The sequence below is a fragment of the Homo sapiens genome, chromosome X (assembly GCF_000001405.40).
Source record: "Homo sapiens chromosome X, GRCh38.p14 Primary Assembly".
NCBI classification, from domain to species: Eukaryota; Metazoa; Chordata; class Mammalia; order Primates; family Hominidae; genus Homo; species Homo sapiens.
Window position 1 is genome coordinate 113,039,470 of NC_000023.11, and position 16,173 is coordinate 113,055,642.

At 36.5% G+C, this 16,173-nt stretch overlaps 1 long non-coding RNA gene across 1 annotated transcript in view; it reads left to right on the forward strand.

The window, feature by feature from the left end:
- Positions 1-3,257: 3,257 nt before the first annotated feature.
- The window catches only part of LOC101928437 (uncharacterized), a 477,888-nt gene continuing 464,972 nt past the window's right edge, over positions 3,258-16,173 (forward strand). Inside the window, exon 1 of the long non-coding RNA NR_110399.2 lies at positions 3,258-3,336. This is a non-coding gene — a long non-coding RNA (uncharacterized LOC101928437). The remainder of the gene's footprint in view (positions 3,337-16,173) is intronic.

A 16,173-nucleotide genomic window follows, 5' to 3' on the forward strand; every position in this document is an offset into this window, starting at 1 on the left:
AGGTGTGAGCCACCACACCTGGCCTATCTACACTTTTTCCATAGGTGATATCATTCATTGGCCTTAGATATTATCTACACACTGTTGGCTCCCAAATTTATATCTCCCTCATAGACCTGTTCCATGAGTTCCAGACTGATATATTGCACTGCCCCCTTGGCAGCTCAAACTTAACACACTCAGCATTGAGCTTCTGAATCTACCCTCTCCCTCCCAAACTGCTCTTTTCTCATTGTTTCCCATTGTAGTCAATGGAACCACCATTCGCCAGTTTTTCAGGCCAGAATCCTTGGAGTCATTAGTGACTATTTTCTCTCATAATCCTCAAACAGTGTATTAGGAACTCCTGTGGGCTCTACTTCCAAAATGTGCCCAAACTATCACCCCCTTTCACCACTACCAACACTACTACCTTTGTGTAATCTACTATCATTTCTCACTTGAATTATTGTAATAGATTTCTAGCTAGTTCTCCTGATTCCACTTTTGTCCCTTGATAGTATATAATCCACAGAATATTCATATTAAACTTTCTGCTATGGACTAAATTTGTCACCCCTCACAAATTCATATTTTAAAGGAGTAACCCCCAATGTGACAGTATTTGGAGATGTGACATTTGAAAAGTAATTATGTTTAGAAGAGTTCATGAGGGTGGGACCCTCATAATATTAGTGCCCTTATAAGAAGAGACACCAGAGAGCTCAAATCCTCTCTTTTAATCCACCTGCATGCACTGAGGAAATTCTATGCAAGGACACAGTAAGAAGGTGACTGTCTGCAACCTAAAAAGAGAGACCTCAGCAAACATTGACCGTGATGCTGCCTTAATCTTGGACTTTCAGAACTTTGAGAAATTTTCTTTGCTTAAAATACTCTGTCATATTTTGTTGTGGTAGCCTGAGCTAAGACACTTTATAGAAATATATGAATTAAATTATGTAATTTCTGAGACCAGCCTGGGCAACAAAGTGAGACCCCATCTTCTCAAAGATGCCTTTCAATATCTAAAATAGCCACATTTCTTTTTCTTTTTTTTTTAATAGCCACATTTCTACACCATTACTTTTTATCCTTTAACCCTGATGAGTCTTACTTTTTTTGTTATTTTTTTGCTATTGTTGTTATTGTTGTAGGTTTTAGGTACAGGATCTCTGTCACCAAGGCTGGAGCGCTGTGGAGAGATCATAGCTCACTACAGCCTCCACCTCCTGGGCTCAAGTGATCCTCCCACCTCTGTCTCCAAAGTAGCTAGGACTACAGGCATGGGACACCATGCCCAGCTAACTGATGAGTTTTTACACACTTCTCAGTAACTATTCTCTCTGTCTCTCCTTCTCTGTAATTTATTATATTTTACTCCTACTAGATGATAAGGTAAGTTTTATAGAGTTAGGAACTGTGTCTCTTTTCTTACTATTGTAGTCTTGTACATAGCAGGTGTTTAATAAATATTTGTCCAACGAATAAATGAATGAATTCGATGTTACAATCACTGCTCTCCACTTAGTTCTTTTCTTTAGCTCTGAAAGTTAAGGTAAGGAAAAGATAATCTGGAGTGACTTAGAAAGTAAAGCAAGAGAAACATTTAGGTTGGTGCAAAACTAATATATATATTAGGACCTCACTTTCAATATAATACTAACCTTTTTAAAATTTTATTTTATTTTAACTTCTGAGATACATGTGCAGGATGTGCAGGTTTGTTACAAAGGTAAACATGTGCCATGGTGGTTTGCTGCACCTATCAACCCATCACCTAGGTATTAAGCCCCACATGCATTAATACTAACCTTTTTAAAATGCAATGCTTTGCCACACAATTAACTGCCTTGCTTTTATATCCTGATAAACATATGCTTGTGGTTAGGTGGTCTTTATAGTTTAAGATGATGTAAACATCAGATGCCTGTGGAACTGAATTAGGATCCTTTTCAACTTTCCATTTAGGCAAATCGTGTCATGTATTTATTAAATAAAAATTGAATATTTGGAGTAGCACTTATGCTTGGAAACAAACTTCATAAGGCACAGTTAATTCCACTGAGGAACACACAGTTTTTTTCTTGCATTTAGTATTTAAATATTTTTTCTTCATTTTTTAAATTTTACTTTTCATTTTTGTGGGTACATGGTAGGTGTATACATTTATGGGTACATGACATATATTGATAGACATACCAGGTGTAATAATCACATTGGGATAAATGGCGTATCCATCACCTCAAGCATTTATTATTTCTTTGTCTTATAAACAATCCAATTATACTCTTTTACATGTACAACAAATTATTGTGTATATCAACTAATAGATCTTATTGTGCTATCAACTAATAGATCTTATTCATTCTAACTACATTTTTGTACACATTAACTATCCCCATTTCCAGCCCTCCACTACACTTTGCAGCCTCCGGTAACCATTATTCCACTCTGTATCTCCATGAGCTCAGTTGTTTTAATTTTTAGCTCCCACAAATAAGTGAGAACAAGTGAATTTTGTCTTTCTGGGCTGGGCTTATTTCACTTAACATAATGACCCCTAGGTCATCCATGTTGTTGCAAACGACAGGATCTTATCTTTATGGCTGAATAGTACTCCATTCTGTATATGTACCACATTTTCTTTGCCCATTCATGTGTTGATGGATGCATAGGTTGTTTTCAAATCTTAGCTACAGTGAATAGTGCTGCAATAATCATGGGAGTACAGATATCTCTTTGATGTACTGATTTCCTTTAAGTATATACCCAGCAGTGGCATTGCTGGATCATGTGGAAGTTCTACTGTAAGTTATCTTGAGTTACCTCCAAACTGTTCTCCATAGTGGTTGTACTAATTTACATTCCCACCAACAGTGTACAAGGGTTATGCTTTTTTTTTTTTCTATAGCCTCGGCAGCATTAGTTTTTGCCTCTCTTTTGGATAAAAGTAATTTTACCTGGGATAAAATTATATTTTATTGTAGATTTTATTTACATTTCTCTGATGATCAATGATGTTGAACACGTTTTCATATGCCTGGTTGCCATTTGTACATCTTTTGAGAAATGTCTATTCACATTTTTGTCCATTTTGTAATTGGGTAATTACATTTTTTCCCTGTAGAGTTGTTAGAGCTCCTTACATATTTTGGTTATTAATCCTTTGCCAGAAGTATAGTTTGCAAATATTTTCTCCCATTCTACGGGTTGTCTCTTGACTTTGTGGATTGTTTCCTTTGCTGAGCAGAAGCCTTTTAACTTAGCATGATCCATTTGTCTATTTTTGCTTTGGTTACCTGTGCTTGTGGGGTATTTATTACTCAAGAAATCTTTGCCTAGTCCAAAGTCCTGGTGAGTTTCCCCAATGCCTTCTTGCAGTAGTTTCATAGTTTGAGGACTTAGATTTAAGTCTTTAATCCATTTTGATTTAATTTTTGTATATGGTGAGAGATAGGGGTGTAGTTTTATTGTTTTGCATATGGATATCCAGTTTTCTTAGCCCCATTTATTGAAAAGACCGTCCTTTTTCCAGTACACGTTCTTGGCACCTTTGTTGAAAACGAGTTTACTGTACATATGTGGATTAGTTTTTCGGTTCTCTATTCTATTCCATTGGTCTATGTGTCTCTTTTTATGCCAGTCCCATGCTGTTTTGGTTACCATAGCTCTGTAGTATAATTTGAAGTCAGGTAATGTGATTTCTCCAGTTTTGTTATTTTTGTTCAGGACAGTTTTGGCTATTCTGGGTCTTTTGTGGTTCCATATAAATTTTATGATTGTCATTTTTTATTTCTGTGAAGAATGTCATTGGTATTCTGATGGAGATTGCATTGAATCTGTAGATTGCTGTGGGTAGTATGAACATTTAACAATATTGATTTTTCCAATCCACAAACATAGAATTTCTTTCCTTTTTTCTTGGTGTTCTCTTCAGTTTCTTATATCAGTGTTTTATAGTTTTCATTGTATAGATCTTTCACTTCTTTGATTAATTCCTAGGTATTTAATTTCATTTGTAACTGTTGTAAATGGGGTTACTTTCTTGATTTCTTTCTCAGATTGTTTGCTGTTGACATATAAATACTAATGATTTTCTATGTTGATTTTGTATCCTGCAACTTTACTGAATTTTTTAATCAGTTCTAATAGTTTTTTGGTGGAGTCTTTATGTTTTTCCAAATATAAGATCATATCATATGCAAACAAGGATAATTGGACATCTTCCTTCCCTTTTGTATGCCCTTTCTTTCTTTCTCTTGTCTGATTGCTGTGGGTCTGTCATATATACCTTTTTTGTGTTGAGCTATGCTCCTTTTATTCCCAGTTTTTTGAGAGTTTTTACTGTAAAGGCATGTTGAATTTTATCATATGCTCTTTTAGCATCAGTCAAAATGATCGTATGGTTGTCCTTCCTTCTGTTGATATGATGTATCACATTGATTGATCTGTGTATATTGAACCAGCCTTGCATCCCTGGATCAAATTACACTTGGTCATGGTGAATTACCTTTTTAATGTTTTGCTGAATTTGGTTTGCTAGCATTTTGTTGAGGACTTTTGCATCAATGTTCACCAGGGATATTGGCCTTTAATTTTCTTCTTTTGATGTGTCTTTGTTTCATTTTCGTATCAGAGTAATACAGGCCTCATAGAATGAGTTTGGAAGTATTTCCCAGGTCCTGGAATTTTCTTTGCTGGGAGAGTTTTTTTTTTTTTTTTTTTTTTTTGAGACAGGTTTTCACTTCTTTACCTAGACTGGAGTGCAGTGGCAAAATAATGGCTCACTGAGGCCTCGACCTCCCAGGTCCAAGTTAAACTCCTGCCTCAGCCTCCTGAGTTTGTTTTTTTCTTAGTCTGGCTAAAGTTTTGTCAATTTTGTTTACCTTTTCAAAAAAAAACAACTTTTTGTTTCATTTATCTTTTGTATTTTTTTATTTCAATTTCATTTATTTCTTCTCTGATCTTTATTATTCCCTTTCTTATACTAATTTTAGATTTGGCCTGCTCTTACTTTTCTAGTTATTTAAGATGTATCATTAGATTGTCTATTTGAAGTTTTTTACTTTTTTGATGTAGTTGCTTATTGCCATAAACTTTTGTATTAGTACTGCTTTCACTGCATCTCATAAGTTTTGTTATGTTGTGTTTCCATTATCACTTGTTTTAAGATATTTCTAAAATTTCTTCTTACTTTCATTGACTCACTGGTAATTCAGGAGCATATTGTTTAATTTTCATGTGTTTCTGTAGTTTCCAAAGTTCCTCTTGTTATTGATTTCCAGTTTATTCTATTATGGTCAGAAAAGATACTTCATATAATTTCTTTTTGGGGGGAATGTTTTAAGACTTGTTTTGTGGCCTAACATATGGTTTTATCCTTGAGAATGATCCATGTGCTGAGGAAAAAAATGTGCATTTGGCAGCCATTGAATGAAATGTTCTGTAAATATCTATTAGGTCTCTTTGGTCTATAGTGCAGATTAAATCCAATGTTTCTTTGTCAATTTTCTGCGTGAATGATCTGTACAATGTTGAAAGTAGGGTGTTGAAGTCTCCAGCTGTTATTGTAGTGGAGCCTGTTTCTTTCTTTAGCTCTAATAACATTCACTTTATCTATCTCGGTGTTCCAATGTTGGGTACATTTATATTTACAATTGTTATATCCTTTTGCTGATTTGACTTCTTTGTCATTATATAATGGCTTTCTTTGCCTCTTTCTATAGTTTTTGTCTTAAAATCTATTTTGTCTGATGTAAGTATAGTTACTCCTGCTTCTTTTTGGTTTCCATTGGCATGAAAAAGCTTTTTCCATTCTTTATTTATAATCTATTTGTGTCTCTACAGGTTAAGTGTGCTCTTTGTCATTAACAGATCATTGGGTCCTGTTTTTCTTTTAAATCCATTCAGCCCCTCTATGTTCTTTCTTTTCTGAGACAGCGTCTTGCTCTGCCACCCATGCTAGAGTGCAGTGGCACAAATACAGCTTACTGCAGCCTAACCTCCTGGGCTCAAGCAATCTTCCCACCTCAGCCTCCTGAGTAGCTGGGAAAACTCTATGTCTTTATAGAGTTTAGAACATTTATGTTCAGTGTCATTATTGATAAGTAAGGACATACTCTTGCCATTTTGTCATTTGTTTTCTTGTTGTTTTGCAGTTTTCTCTTCATTCTTTCTTTCCTGTTTTCCTTTTAGTGAAGGTGATTTTCTCTTGTGGTATGTTTTAATTTATTATTTTTTATTTTGTGTGTGTGTGTATCTGTTGTAGGTTCTTGATTTGAGGTTACCATGAGGCTTGCAAATAATATCTCATAACCCATTGTTTTAGACCGATGACAATTTAATAAAGATTGTATAAACAAACAAATTAACAAATAATCAAACAGGAAACTAATAAGAACTCCAACTTTGTTCCCCCAATTTTAAAATTCTTGTTGTTTCTATTTAGACCTTATTGTGTTTTCTATGTCTTGAAAAGTTGTTGTAGTTAATATTTTGGAGAGGTTTATCTTTTAGTCTTTCTACTCAAGACAAGGGTAGTTTCTACACTACAATTACAGTGTTGTAATACTCTGTGTTTTCCTGTGTACTTACTATTACCATGTTTTGTATCTTCTGATTTCTTATTGTTCATTAATATACTTTTCTTTCTGATTGAAGAACTCCTTTTAGTATTTCTTGTAGGACAGGTATGGTGCTGATGAAATCCCTTAACTTTTGTTTGTCTGGGAAAGTCTTTATTTCTCCTTCATGTTTGAAGTATATTATTGCTGGATAAACTATTCTAGGATAAAAGTGGTTTTTTTCAGTACTTTAAATATGCCACGCTCTTCTGACCCATAAGCTTTCCACTGAGAAGTTTGCTGCCATACATATAGGAGCGCCTTTGTATGTTATTTCTTTCTTTCTCTCTTGCTGTTTTTAGAATCCTTTCTTTATCCTTGACCTTTGGAAGTTTCATTATCAAATGTCTTGAAGTAATCTGATTTGGGTTAATTCTTCTTGGTGTTCTACAACATTTGTATATTTGAATATTGATATCTTTCTCTAGGTTTGGGAGGTTCTTTGTTATTATCCCTTTAAATAAACTTTCTATTTTTCTATCTCCTCCTTAAGGCCAATAGCTTTTAGATTTGCCCTTTTGAGGCTATTTTCTAGATCTTATAGGCATGCTTCATTGTTTTAATTCTTTTTCATTTTGTCTCCTCTGACTGTGTATTATCAAATAACCTGTCTTCAAACTCACTAATTCTTTCTTCTGCTTGATCATTTCTACTATTAAGAGACTCTGGTCCATTCTTTAGTATGTCAATTGTATTTTATAGCTTTAGAAGTTGGAACTCACAGACATAAAGGACAGGTAAATAATGAGATAATTTCAATATAATGTCATAAATGCTGGTGTGGAATTGAAGGTACAGTGTGGAAGCCTAAGGGAAAACAGTTCTACAGCTGCCTGGAAAAGTCAAAGAATGCTTCGCAGAGAAGGTAGAATTTTAACTGAGAGATGGAAAGTTGAATGAACATGATACCAGGCAAAACATGCTGATAAGATTTCTTGATGGATTTGGCACATAATGTGAGCCCTGGTAAAAGGTGTGATGGTGTAAAAGTGAATCTACAAAGGAGGAAATAGCATGAGAAAAGGCACAGTCACATGGTCTTTAAAAATACAGGATTGGTTTGAATGATCACAAGTAACATGAGTGTATTGAAAGATATGGAAGATTAGGCTAACAGCTAATTGAAGCTGTTTCTGTGATATCTAGAGGAGCTAACTAGGAAAACATACTGTTACATTTCCAGTCCCACAGTGCACAGCTGGTTATCAGTTAAGAAGAAAATTTAAAAAACCTAGCTAAACTACAGTATGCATAACTCACTTGTTATTGTTCGCAGAGATATTTAAATTTTATAAGAGGATGTCCAGAGAGAACAATGCATTAGATAGTAGAATTTTTGGCACAGGGACATAGATTAGAATTAAACTGAGGAGTTTCTAGAAAGTTTTCCTGCCCTTACAATGTCGTTTCTATCTGGCATGCTAACTCACTGCCCTAGCAGATTTTAAATTCTTCCTTCAGTATTTTGTTTAAAAGAGACAATACATTTAGTTTTTAGGAACACAAAATAATCATTCTTTTTTATTGGAATTCCAAATACCCCCAAGATATAAAAAGAAATAACGTGGTTTAGAAAATACTTGGTTAAAAAAGGAATTAAATCAGCCATTCTTTACCTGTCAAAGCAAAGAATAATACATAAAGAAAAAAAAAACTCCATCTGTTTTGAGTCATGAAGTCATCCTCCAGGCTCCACAGAGAGCTTATATCCAAGTGGGAGAGAAAGTGAATCTTACTATGAAACTCAATTCCAAAGAAGAGGATCTTTTCCTTGAGGCCTCCTGAGGGGATAGATCTTCTCCTCTCATCATTCTAGGTTACTAAGCTACAGATATGTGTAAAGGTTAAATTGCAATACCTCAACCAGAACATTTAAGGCCTGTTTATTGTTCATATCCTCAGCATCAAACTAAAAAACAGTGCTTTAAAAACAGAACTTGAAGAACAGCTATTAAATAAAACAAAGTAAAGTGAAAACGAGTTCAATGTAGAAACATGAAGCAAGTAAAACAATTTGAGCATTTAAATATGACTCTATAACCATTTAGAGAATAGAAAGTTTAATGCACCTGCATTTTCATGTCAAATTAGCTCTATCTTAAAACCAACTGAGGTTTCTATATATTTATTATTAATATTAACATACATATATTTACAGATATTTCAACAAAGTTTTTAAATAAATTATTGGATCTTGAGCACTGTGTTAAGTGATTGGTGATGATGAAAGGATTCTTTCTCTTTTGCTTAGAATCTAACTAAGGAAGCAAGTCATGTACTCGAAGATATGAAGTAATGTATGGAAGTCATTTGGTACACATGTATGTATTTGAGCTGCAGATATTTCAAGTAAGGGAATGGTTACTGAGTGACGGGGTTAGATTGGACAGTCTTTATAGAGAAGAACCTGGATCTTCAAAAGAAGGAAATTTTGGGTTTTCAATGGTGGAGACAGAAGAAAGAAAGCATTTTAGATATAGGGAGGAGGAATGAGTGAAATGGAGGCAGGAATGTGGTATGTGAGCGAAAGAAGGCCGGTTTGACAGAGTTGGAACCAGTGATCATGTTGGGGATTAGTGAGTGTTTAGGATGAATAGGTAAGGTGGAGACAGTTGATGGAAGAACTGGAATGCCAGGTTGATAAGTTTTGACTTGATCCTACAAGCAAATGGATGCCCTTGTAGGGGAGTGTCATGCTGAAAGAAGTGCCTTTTATTTTCTTCAATTCATTTGTTGACATTATCATAATTTATTTTAACTCTTCCTTTTTCTAATTCAGCATGCCACTCTGGGGGAGCTGGAAAGGAGACAACTTTCAGGGTATGTGTCACCCTCCAACCACCTAGTCCTCTGGTCCGTGGACATCCATACTCAGTGGTCAGGAGAGGTCTTTTTAAACAGCCTTATGATTAATTTGTCCATTCCCTGGGGAAGATGTGAATCATTCAGCCTGTAATTGTCAAAGGCACATAGGTCTGGCTTGGTGACTTGCTTTAGTCCTCAGCATGAGTGTAAACTGGGTTGCTTTTCATTTTCTTCAACACTACCTCTTCCCAGTATGACTTCATCTGAAATTATGCAAAGTCCTAATATCTCAGACATATCCCTATTGAAATGGAAATACAAACATGCATCAAAATGCCAAATAGGGATTAGTTGGGGATTATCCATTTTATTGTTCCCCCCAATTCAATTCAGGTTAGCTCAATAACTATTTATTGAACACCCCACCAGGAATTTATGGACTGCATAGAGACAAAATTTTATCCACATAAAATAAACATATAAGCACACAAAAATGAACAAACCACACAGTTAAATATCAATATGGAATGCATTTGATTAGGTGCCAGGATATGTGGCACAGACAATTGTAAGAATGGACTACAATAATCATTTATTTAGAAAGACATAGCCCTCCCCCACCAAGTGGTATTAATGTTATGGATGCTAAATCACTTACTGTATCACATCTTTGAATATCTCAAATCTGGTATCAGCACAGATGAAAATTCACAGCGAATGAACTCATTATCAAAAGAATGTTTCCAAATGGGCTTTTTCTTCTTGCTTTTGAGTTTTGCCTTTACAACATTCCTTCCGAGTAGAGCTGAATAGTCCTTTCATTGAGTGCCATTTTTTTCCTTACAAGTAATAGTCTCAATTTCTCACTAAATATATTATCTGGGTGCTTTTATGCAACAACCTCATTTTCATTTGAAGAGTAGACTTTAAGGTTATGAAGGAAGAGAATGGAGAGGTGGAATAAGATGGTTGAATAGAAGCCTCCACTGATCATCCCCTCCCTCTCCGCACAGGGACATCAAATTTGACAACTATCTACACCATAAAGCATCTTCATAAGAACCAAAAATCAGGTGAGCAATCACAATATCTGAATCACTGATGCAACCTCTCCCCCATCCTCTAGTGGTAACCCTGTCATGCAGAGACAGAATCAGTGCACCTAGAGGAGGGAGAATGCAGCAATTGTGGGACTGTTCGTTGAATGCACTGTTGCCCTGTCACAGCAGAAAGCAAAACTGGACTGAATTCATCCAACACCCACTGACGGAGGAAACATTTAGATGAGCCCTAGCCAGAGGGGAATCACTCATCCCAGTGGTCAGAACTTTAGTTTCTGCAAGCCTTGCCACCACAGGATGAAGTGATTTGGGGTCCTAAATAAACCTGAAGGGCAATTTAGGTCACAAAGACTGCAATTCCTAAGGCAAGTCCTAGTGCTAGGCTAGGCTCAGAGTCAGTGGACTTGGAAGGCACATGACCCAGTGAGACACCAGCTGGGGCAGCTAAGGGAGTGCTTGCACCACCCCCTCCCACAACCCCCAGCAGCATGGCTCATAGCAATGAAAGTGACTCCTTCCTTCTGCTTGAGGAGAGGAGAGGGAAGAGTAAAGAGGACTGTGTCTTAAAGCTCAGCCCCAATAGGATAAGGCACTGGGTAGAGTCATGAGGCCTCCTTTCCAGGGCCTAGCTCCAGAATGACATTTCTAGACCAGAAGGGAACCCACTGCCCTGAAGGAAAGGATTCATTCCTGGCAGTATTCATTAGCTGCTGATTAAAGAGCCCTTGGGCCCTGAATAACCAGCAGTGATACTCAGGTAGTATGCCATGAACCTTGGGGGAGATTCTGAAACATACTGGCTTCTGGTTAGACCTAGCACATTATCAGCTGTGGTGACTATGCAGAGAGAATCCTGCTTGAGAAAAGCAGAGGGAAAAGTAGAGGGGATTTTGTCTTAGATCTTAGGTACCAGCTCAGTGACAGTGGGGTGGAGCAACAAGCAGACTCTTGGGGTCCCTGTTTCTAGGACTTGGCACTTGGACAACATTTCTGGACCTGCCCTGGGCCAAAGGGGAGCCCACTTCCCTGAAGGGTGAGCCCCAGGCCTGTCAGCATTCACCATAAGCTGAAGAGCTCTTGAACCTTAAGTGAAAATTGGTGGTAGTCTGGCAGTATTCCTCAAGGGCCTGTGATGGTGGTGTCGGTGGGGAACATTTCAGTTGCCTGTGGAAAGGGAAGGAAAGAGTGGGAGAGACTTTGCATCATTGTTTAAGTGTCAGCTTAGCCACAGTAGAATACAGAACCAGGTAGATTTCTAAGGTTTCTCACTCCAGTGCCTGGCTCCTGGATGTCATCTCTGAGCATGGCATGGACCTGGAATAACTTGCTGCCCTGAAGAGAAGGATACAAGCAAGGATGGCTTTGTCACTTGCTGATTGTAGTGTCCTAGGGCCTTGAGAAAACATAGGCAATAGCCAGTAGTGGTTACAGCAGGCTTTGGGAGAGAGGCCCAGTACTGTGATAGTTGCAGATATGACCCAGCATAGTCCCAGTAGTGGTGGCCAAAGCGGTGCTTCTTTTCCCTGACCCACAGCTCCAGGTGGCTCAGCAAAGAGAGAGAGAAACTCTGTTTCTTATGGAGAAAGTAAGGAAAGAGAACAAGAGTTTCTGACTGGTAATCCAGATAATTATTCCAGATCTTATCCAAGAACATCAAGGTGTTTGTTACCTCTATGAATCTGCGAGAACCACAGCATTACTAGGATTAGATTGTCCCCTAATGCAGATAAAGCTTAGATTACAACACCCAAGTCCCTTCAAATACCTGGAAAACCTTTCCAAGAAGGACGGGTACAAACAAGCCCAGAATGCAAAGACTACATAAATAACTCTACAATGCTCAGACACTGACAAACATCGACAAGCATGAAAACCATTTAGGAAAACATGCCCTCACCAAATGAACTAAATAAAGCACAAAGGAACAATCCTGAAAGAAACAGAAATATGTGACCTTTTGAACAGAGAATTCAAAATAGCTGTTTTGAGGAAACTCAAAGAAATTCAAGAGAACACAAAGAAAGAATTCAGAATTCTATACAAATACATGGAATTTAAACGCTCTTGAATAACCATTGGGTCAATGAAGAAATGAAAAAAGAAATGGAAAAGTATCTTGAAATGAATGATAGTGGAAACACAACCTACCAAAACCTATGAGATACAGCCAAAGCAGTACTAAGAAGGAAACGTACAGCTGTAGGTGGAAAAGAACAACTTCAAATAAACAATCTAAGGATGAATCTTCAAGAGGTAGAAAAGTTCTTTAAAAGAAAGAGGATCTAAATAATTAAAATCAGGGGTGGACAAGGAGACATTACAGCTGATACTGCAAAAGTTCAAAGGACCATTAGTGGCTATTATGAGAAACTCTATGCCAATAAATGAGAAAATCTAGAAGAAATGGACAAATGCCTAGAGACATACAGCCTACCAAGATTGAACCATAAAGAAATCCAAAACCTGAACAGACAAATAACAAGTAATGAGATTGAAGGCATAATAAAAAGTCTCCCAATAAAGCAAAACCCGAGACACAATGGCTTTACTGCAGAATTCTACATAACATTTAAAGAATGACTAATACCAATCCTACTCAAACTATTTCAAAAATTAGAGTAGTGAATACTTTCAAATTCATTCTACAAGGCCAGTATTAATTACCCTGACAAAAACCAGATAAAGACACATAAAAACATTTTAAAAATAAAGTTAAAAAAACCCTACAGGGCAATATCTCTAATGAATATTGACACAAAAATTGTCAACCAAATACTAGAAAACTAAATTCAACAATACATTGAAAGGATTATTCATCATGGCCAAGTGAGCTTTATCCCTGGTATACAAGGATTGTCCAACATATGCAAATCAATTAATGTGATACATCATGTCAACAGAATGAAAGACAAAAACCATATGATCATTTGAATTGATGCTGAAAAAGCATCTGATAATATTCAACATCCCTCCAATATAAAAACCCTCAAAAAACTGGGGAACATACCTCAACATAATAAAAGCCATATATGTATGGCAGATTCACAGCTAGTATCACACTGAATGAGGAAAAACTGAAAGTCCTTACTCTAAGCTTTGGAACATGACAAGGATGCCCACTTTCACCACTGTTATTCAACATAGTGATGACAGTCCTGGCTAGAGCAGTCAGACAAGAGAAAGAAATAAAGGGCATCCACACTGAAAAGGAAGAAGTCAAATTATCTTTGTTTGCAGATGATAAGATCTCATATTTGGAAAAACCTAAAGACTCCACCAAAAAACATTTTGAACTGATGAACAAATCCAGTAAAGTTACAGAATACAAAATCAATATACAAAAATCAGTAGCATTTCTATATGCCGAAATGAACAAACGGAAAAAGAAATTGAAAAGTAGTCCTATTTACAAGAGCCACAAATACAATTAAATACCTAGGAATTAACTTAACCAAAGAAGTAAAACATCCCTATAATGAAAACAGTGAAGAAAGCAATTGAAGAGAACACCAAAAATGGAAAGATATTCCATGTTCATGGATTGGAAGAATCAATATTGTTAAAATGTCTATACTACCCAAAGCAATCTATAGATCAGTGCAACCTCTATCAAAATACCAATGACATTCTTCACAGAAAAAGAAAATCAATCCTGAAATTTATATGGAACCACAAAAGACCCAAAATAACCAAAGCTATCCTAAGAAAAAAAAAAAAAAACTGGAAGAATCACCTTACTTGACTTCAAATTATGCTACAGAGCTATAGCAATGAAAACAGCATGGTACTTGCATAAAAACAGACACATAGACTGTATTAGTCAGTCCTCACACTGCTGTAAAGAACTACCTGAGACTGGATATCCAAAATACAGGTAATAACTAATGCTGGCAAGAATGTAGAGAAAAGAGGACCTTTGTACACTGCTAGTGGGAATGTAAATTAATACAATCACTGTGGAGAACAGTTTGGAGGTTCTTCAAAACATTAAAAATAGAGTTAACATGTGATCCAGCAATTCCACTGCTGCATATATACCCAAAAGAAAGGAAATCAACATTGATCAAAGAGATATCTGCACTTCTGTGTTTGTTGCAGCACTGTTCACAATAGCCAAGATTTGTGTCCATCGACAGATGAATTGATGAAGAAAATGTGATACTTATACACAATGGAGTACCATTCAGCCATAAAAAAGAATGTGGTTCAGTCATTTGCAACAACATGAATGGAACTGGAGGTCATTATGTTAAGCGAAGTAAGCCAGGCACAGAAAGACAAACTTCACATGTTCTCACTTATTTGTGGCATCTAAAAATCAGAACAATTGAATCCATGGAGAAAGAGAGTTGAAGGATGGTTACCAGAGGCTAGGGAGGGTGATGGGGATTGGGATGAGGGAGAGATGGGGATGGTTAAGGGGTACAAAAAATAGAATGACTGAATAAAGCCTACTATTTGAATAAAGCCTACTATTTGATAGCACAGCAGGGTGACTATTGTTAATAATAATTTAATTGTACATTTAAAAATAACTAAAATTTGGGAGGCCGAGGCAGGCAGATCATGAGGTCAAGAGATTGAGACCATCCTAGACAACATGGTGAAACCCCATCTCTACTAAAAATACAAAAATTAGCTGGGCATGGTGGCATGTAGTCCCAGCTACTTGAGAGGCTGAGGCAGGAGAATTGCTTGAACCCGGGAGGCTTAGGCTGCAGTGAGCTGAGATCACGCCACTGCACTCCAGCCTGGCGACAGAGTGAGACTCCATCTCAAAATAAATAAATTAAATAAATAAATAAATAAATAAATAAATAAATAAATAAAAGAGTATAATTGGTTTGTTTGTAACATAAAGGATAAATGCCTGAGGGGATGGATACCCATTCTCCATGATGTGATTATTATGCATTGCATGCCTGTATCAAAGAATCTCATCTACCCCACAAATACATACACCTACTCTGTACCCACAAAAATTAAAAATTATAAAAAGAAGGAAATTAAAGAAAAAGAATGTGCTTGCTTCACCTGTAGATTGAGGCAACACTGGGATTTCTTATGGTGCTGCAGCTACAACTGGATATAAAATTTCTTTTTCGTGCCATTAAATATGTGCTTGTGCTCAGAGAAATATCTTGAGGTTGCTGAGTTTTTCTTGGCAGGTATGAGAATAGGTGGGATTAATTGGAGTGACTCTCTAAAGAAAACTGTTTTGGAATTATTTTGACAAGAAAGGATTTGCTAGAGTAGAAAGAGAAGCTGGTGTTTGAATAGTGTTAAAAGGCATTAGGTTCCTTGGCCTATCATCTCATAAGTACTCATCAATCATATCTCAATAAAGCCAAGAGATATAAACACAAGGAAAACAAAAATAAGCTCTGTGTGTTCTGTGGATGCTGCCTGGTTGTGAGCAAGGGCCTGAGGGAAAAAGATTTAGGGGATGATGAGAATTATAAGAGGAAAATGAGACAGACAGAAAGAGAGAGAGAGAGAGTGGGAAAGGGAGTTGCTTGTGCTGGAGTTTGCGGTATTGACAAGGCAATAGAGCAACATAGCATTTCTTGGAGTTTCAGAGGATTATTCAAAGGGGTAGGGTGTGAGAGTAGAGGACATGGATGATAGACAAAAAAACTTAGCTCATCTAGATAACTAAAATATTGCTTGATTCTCCAAAGTCCTTTTCTTTTTTTCCATGT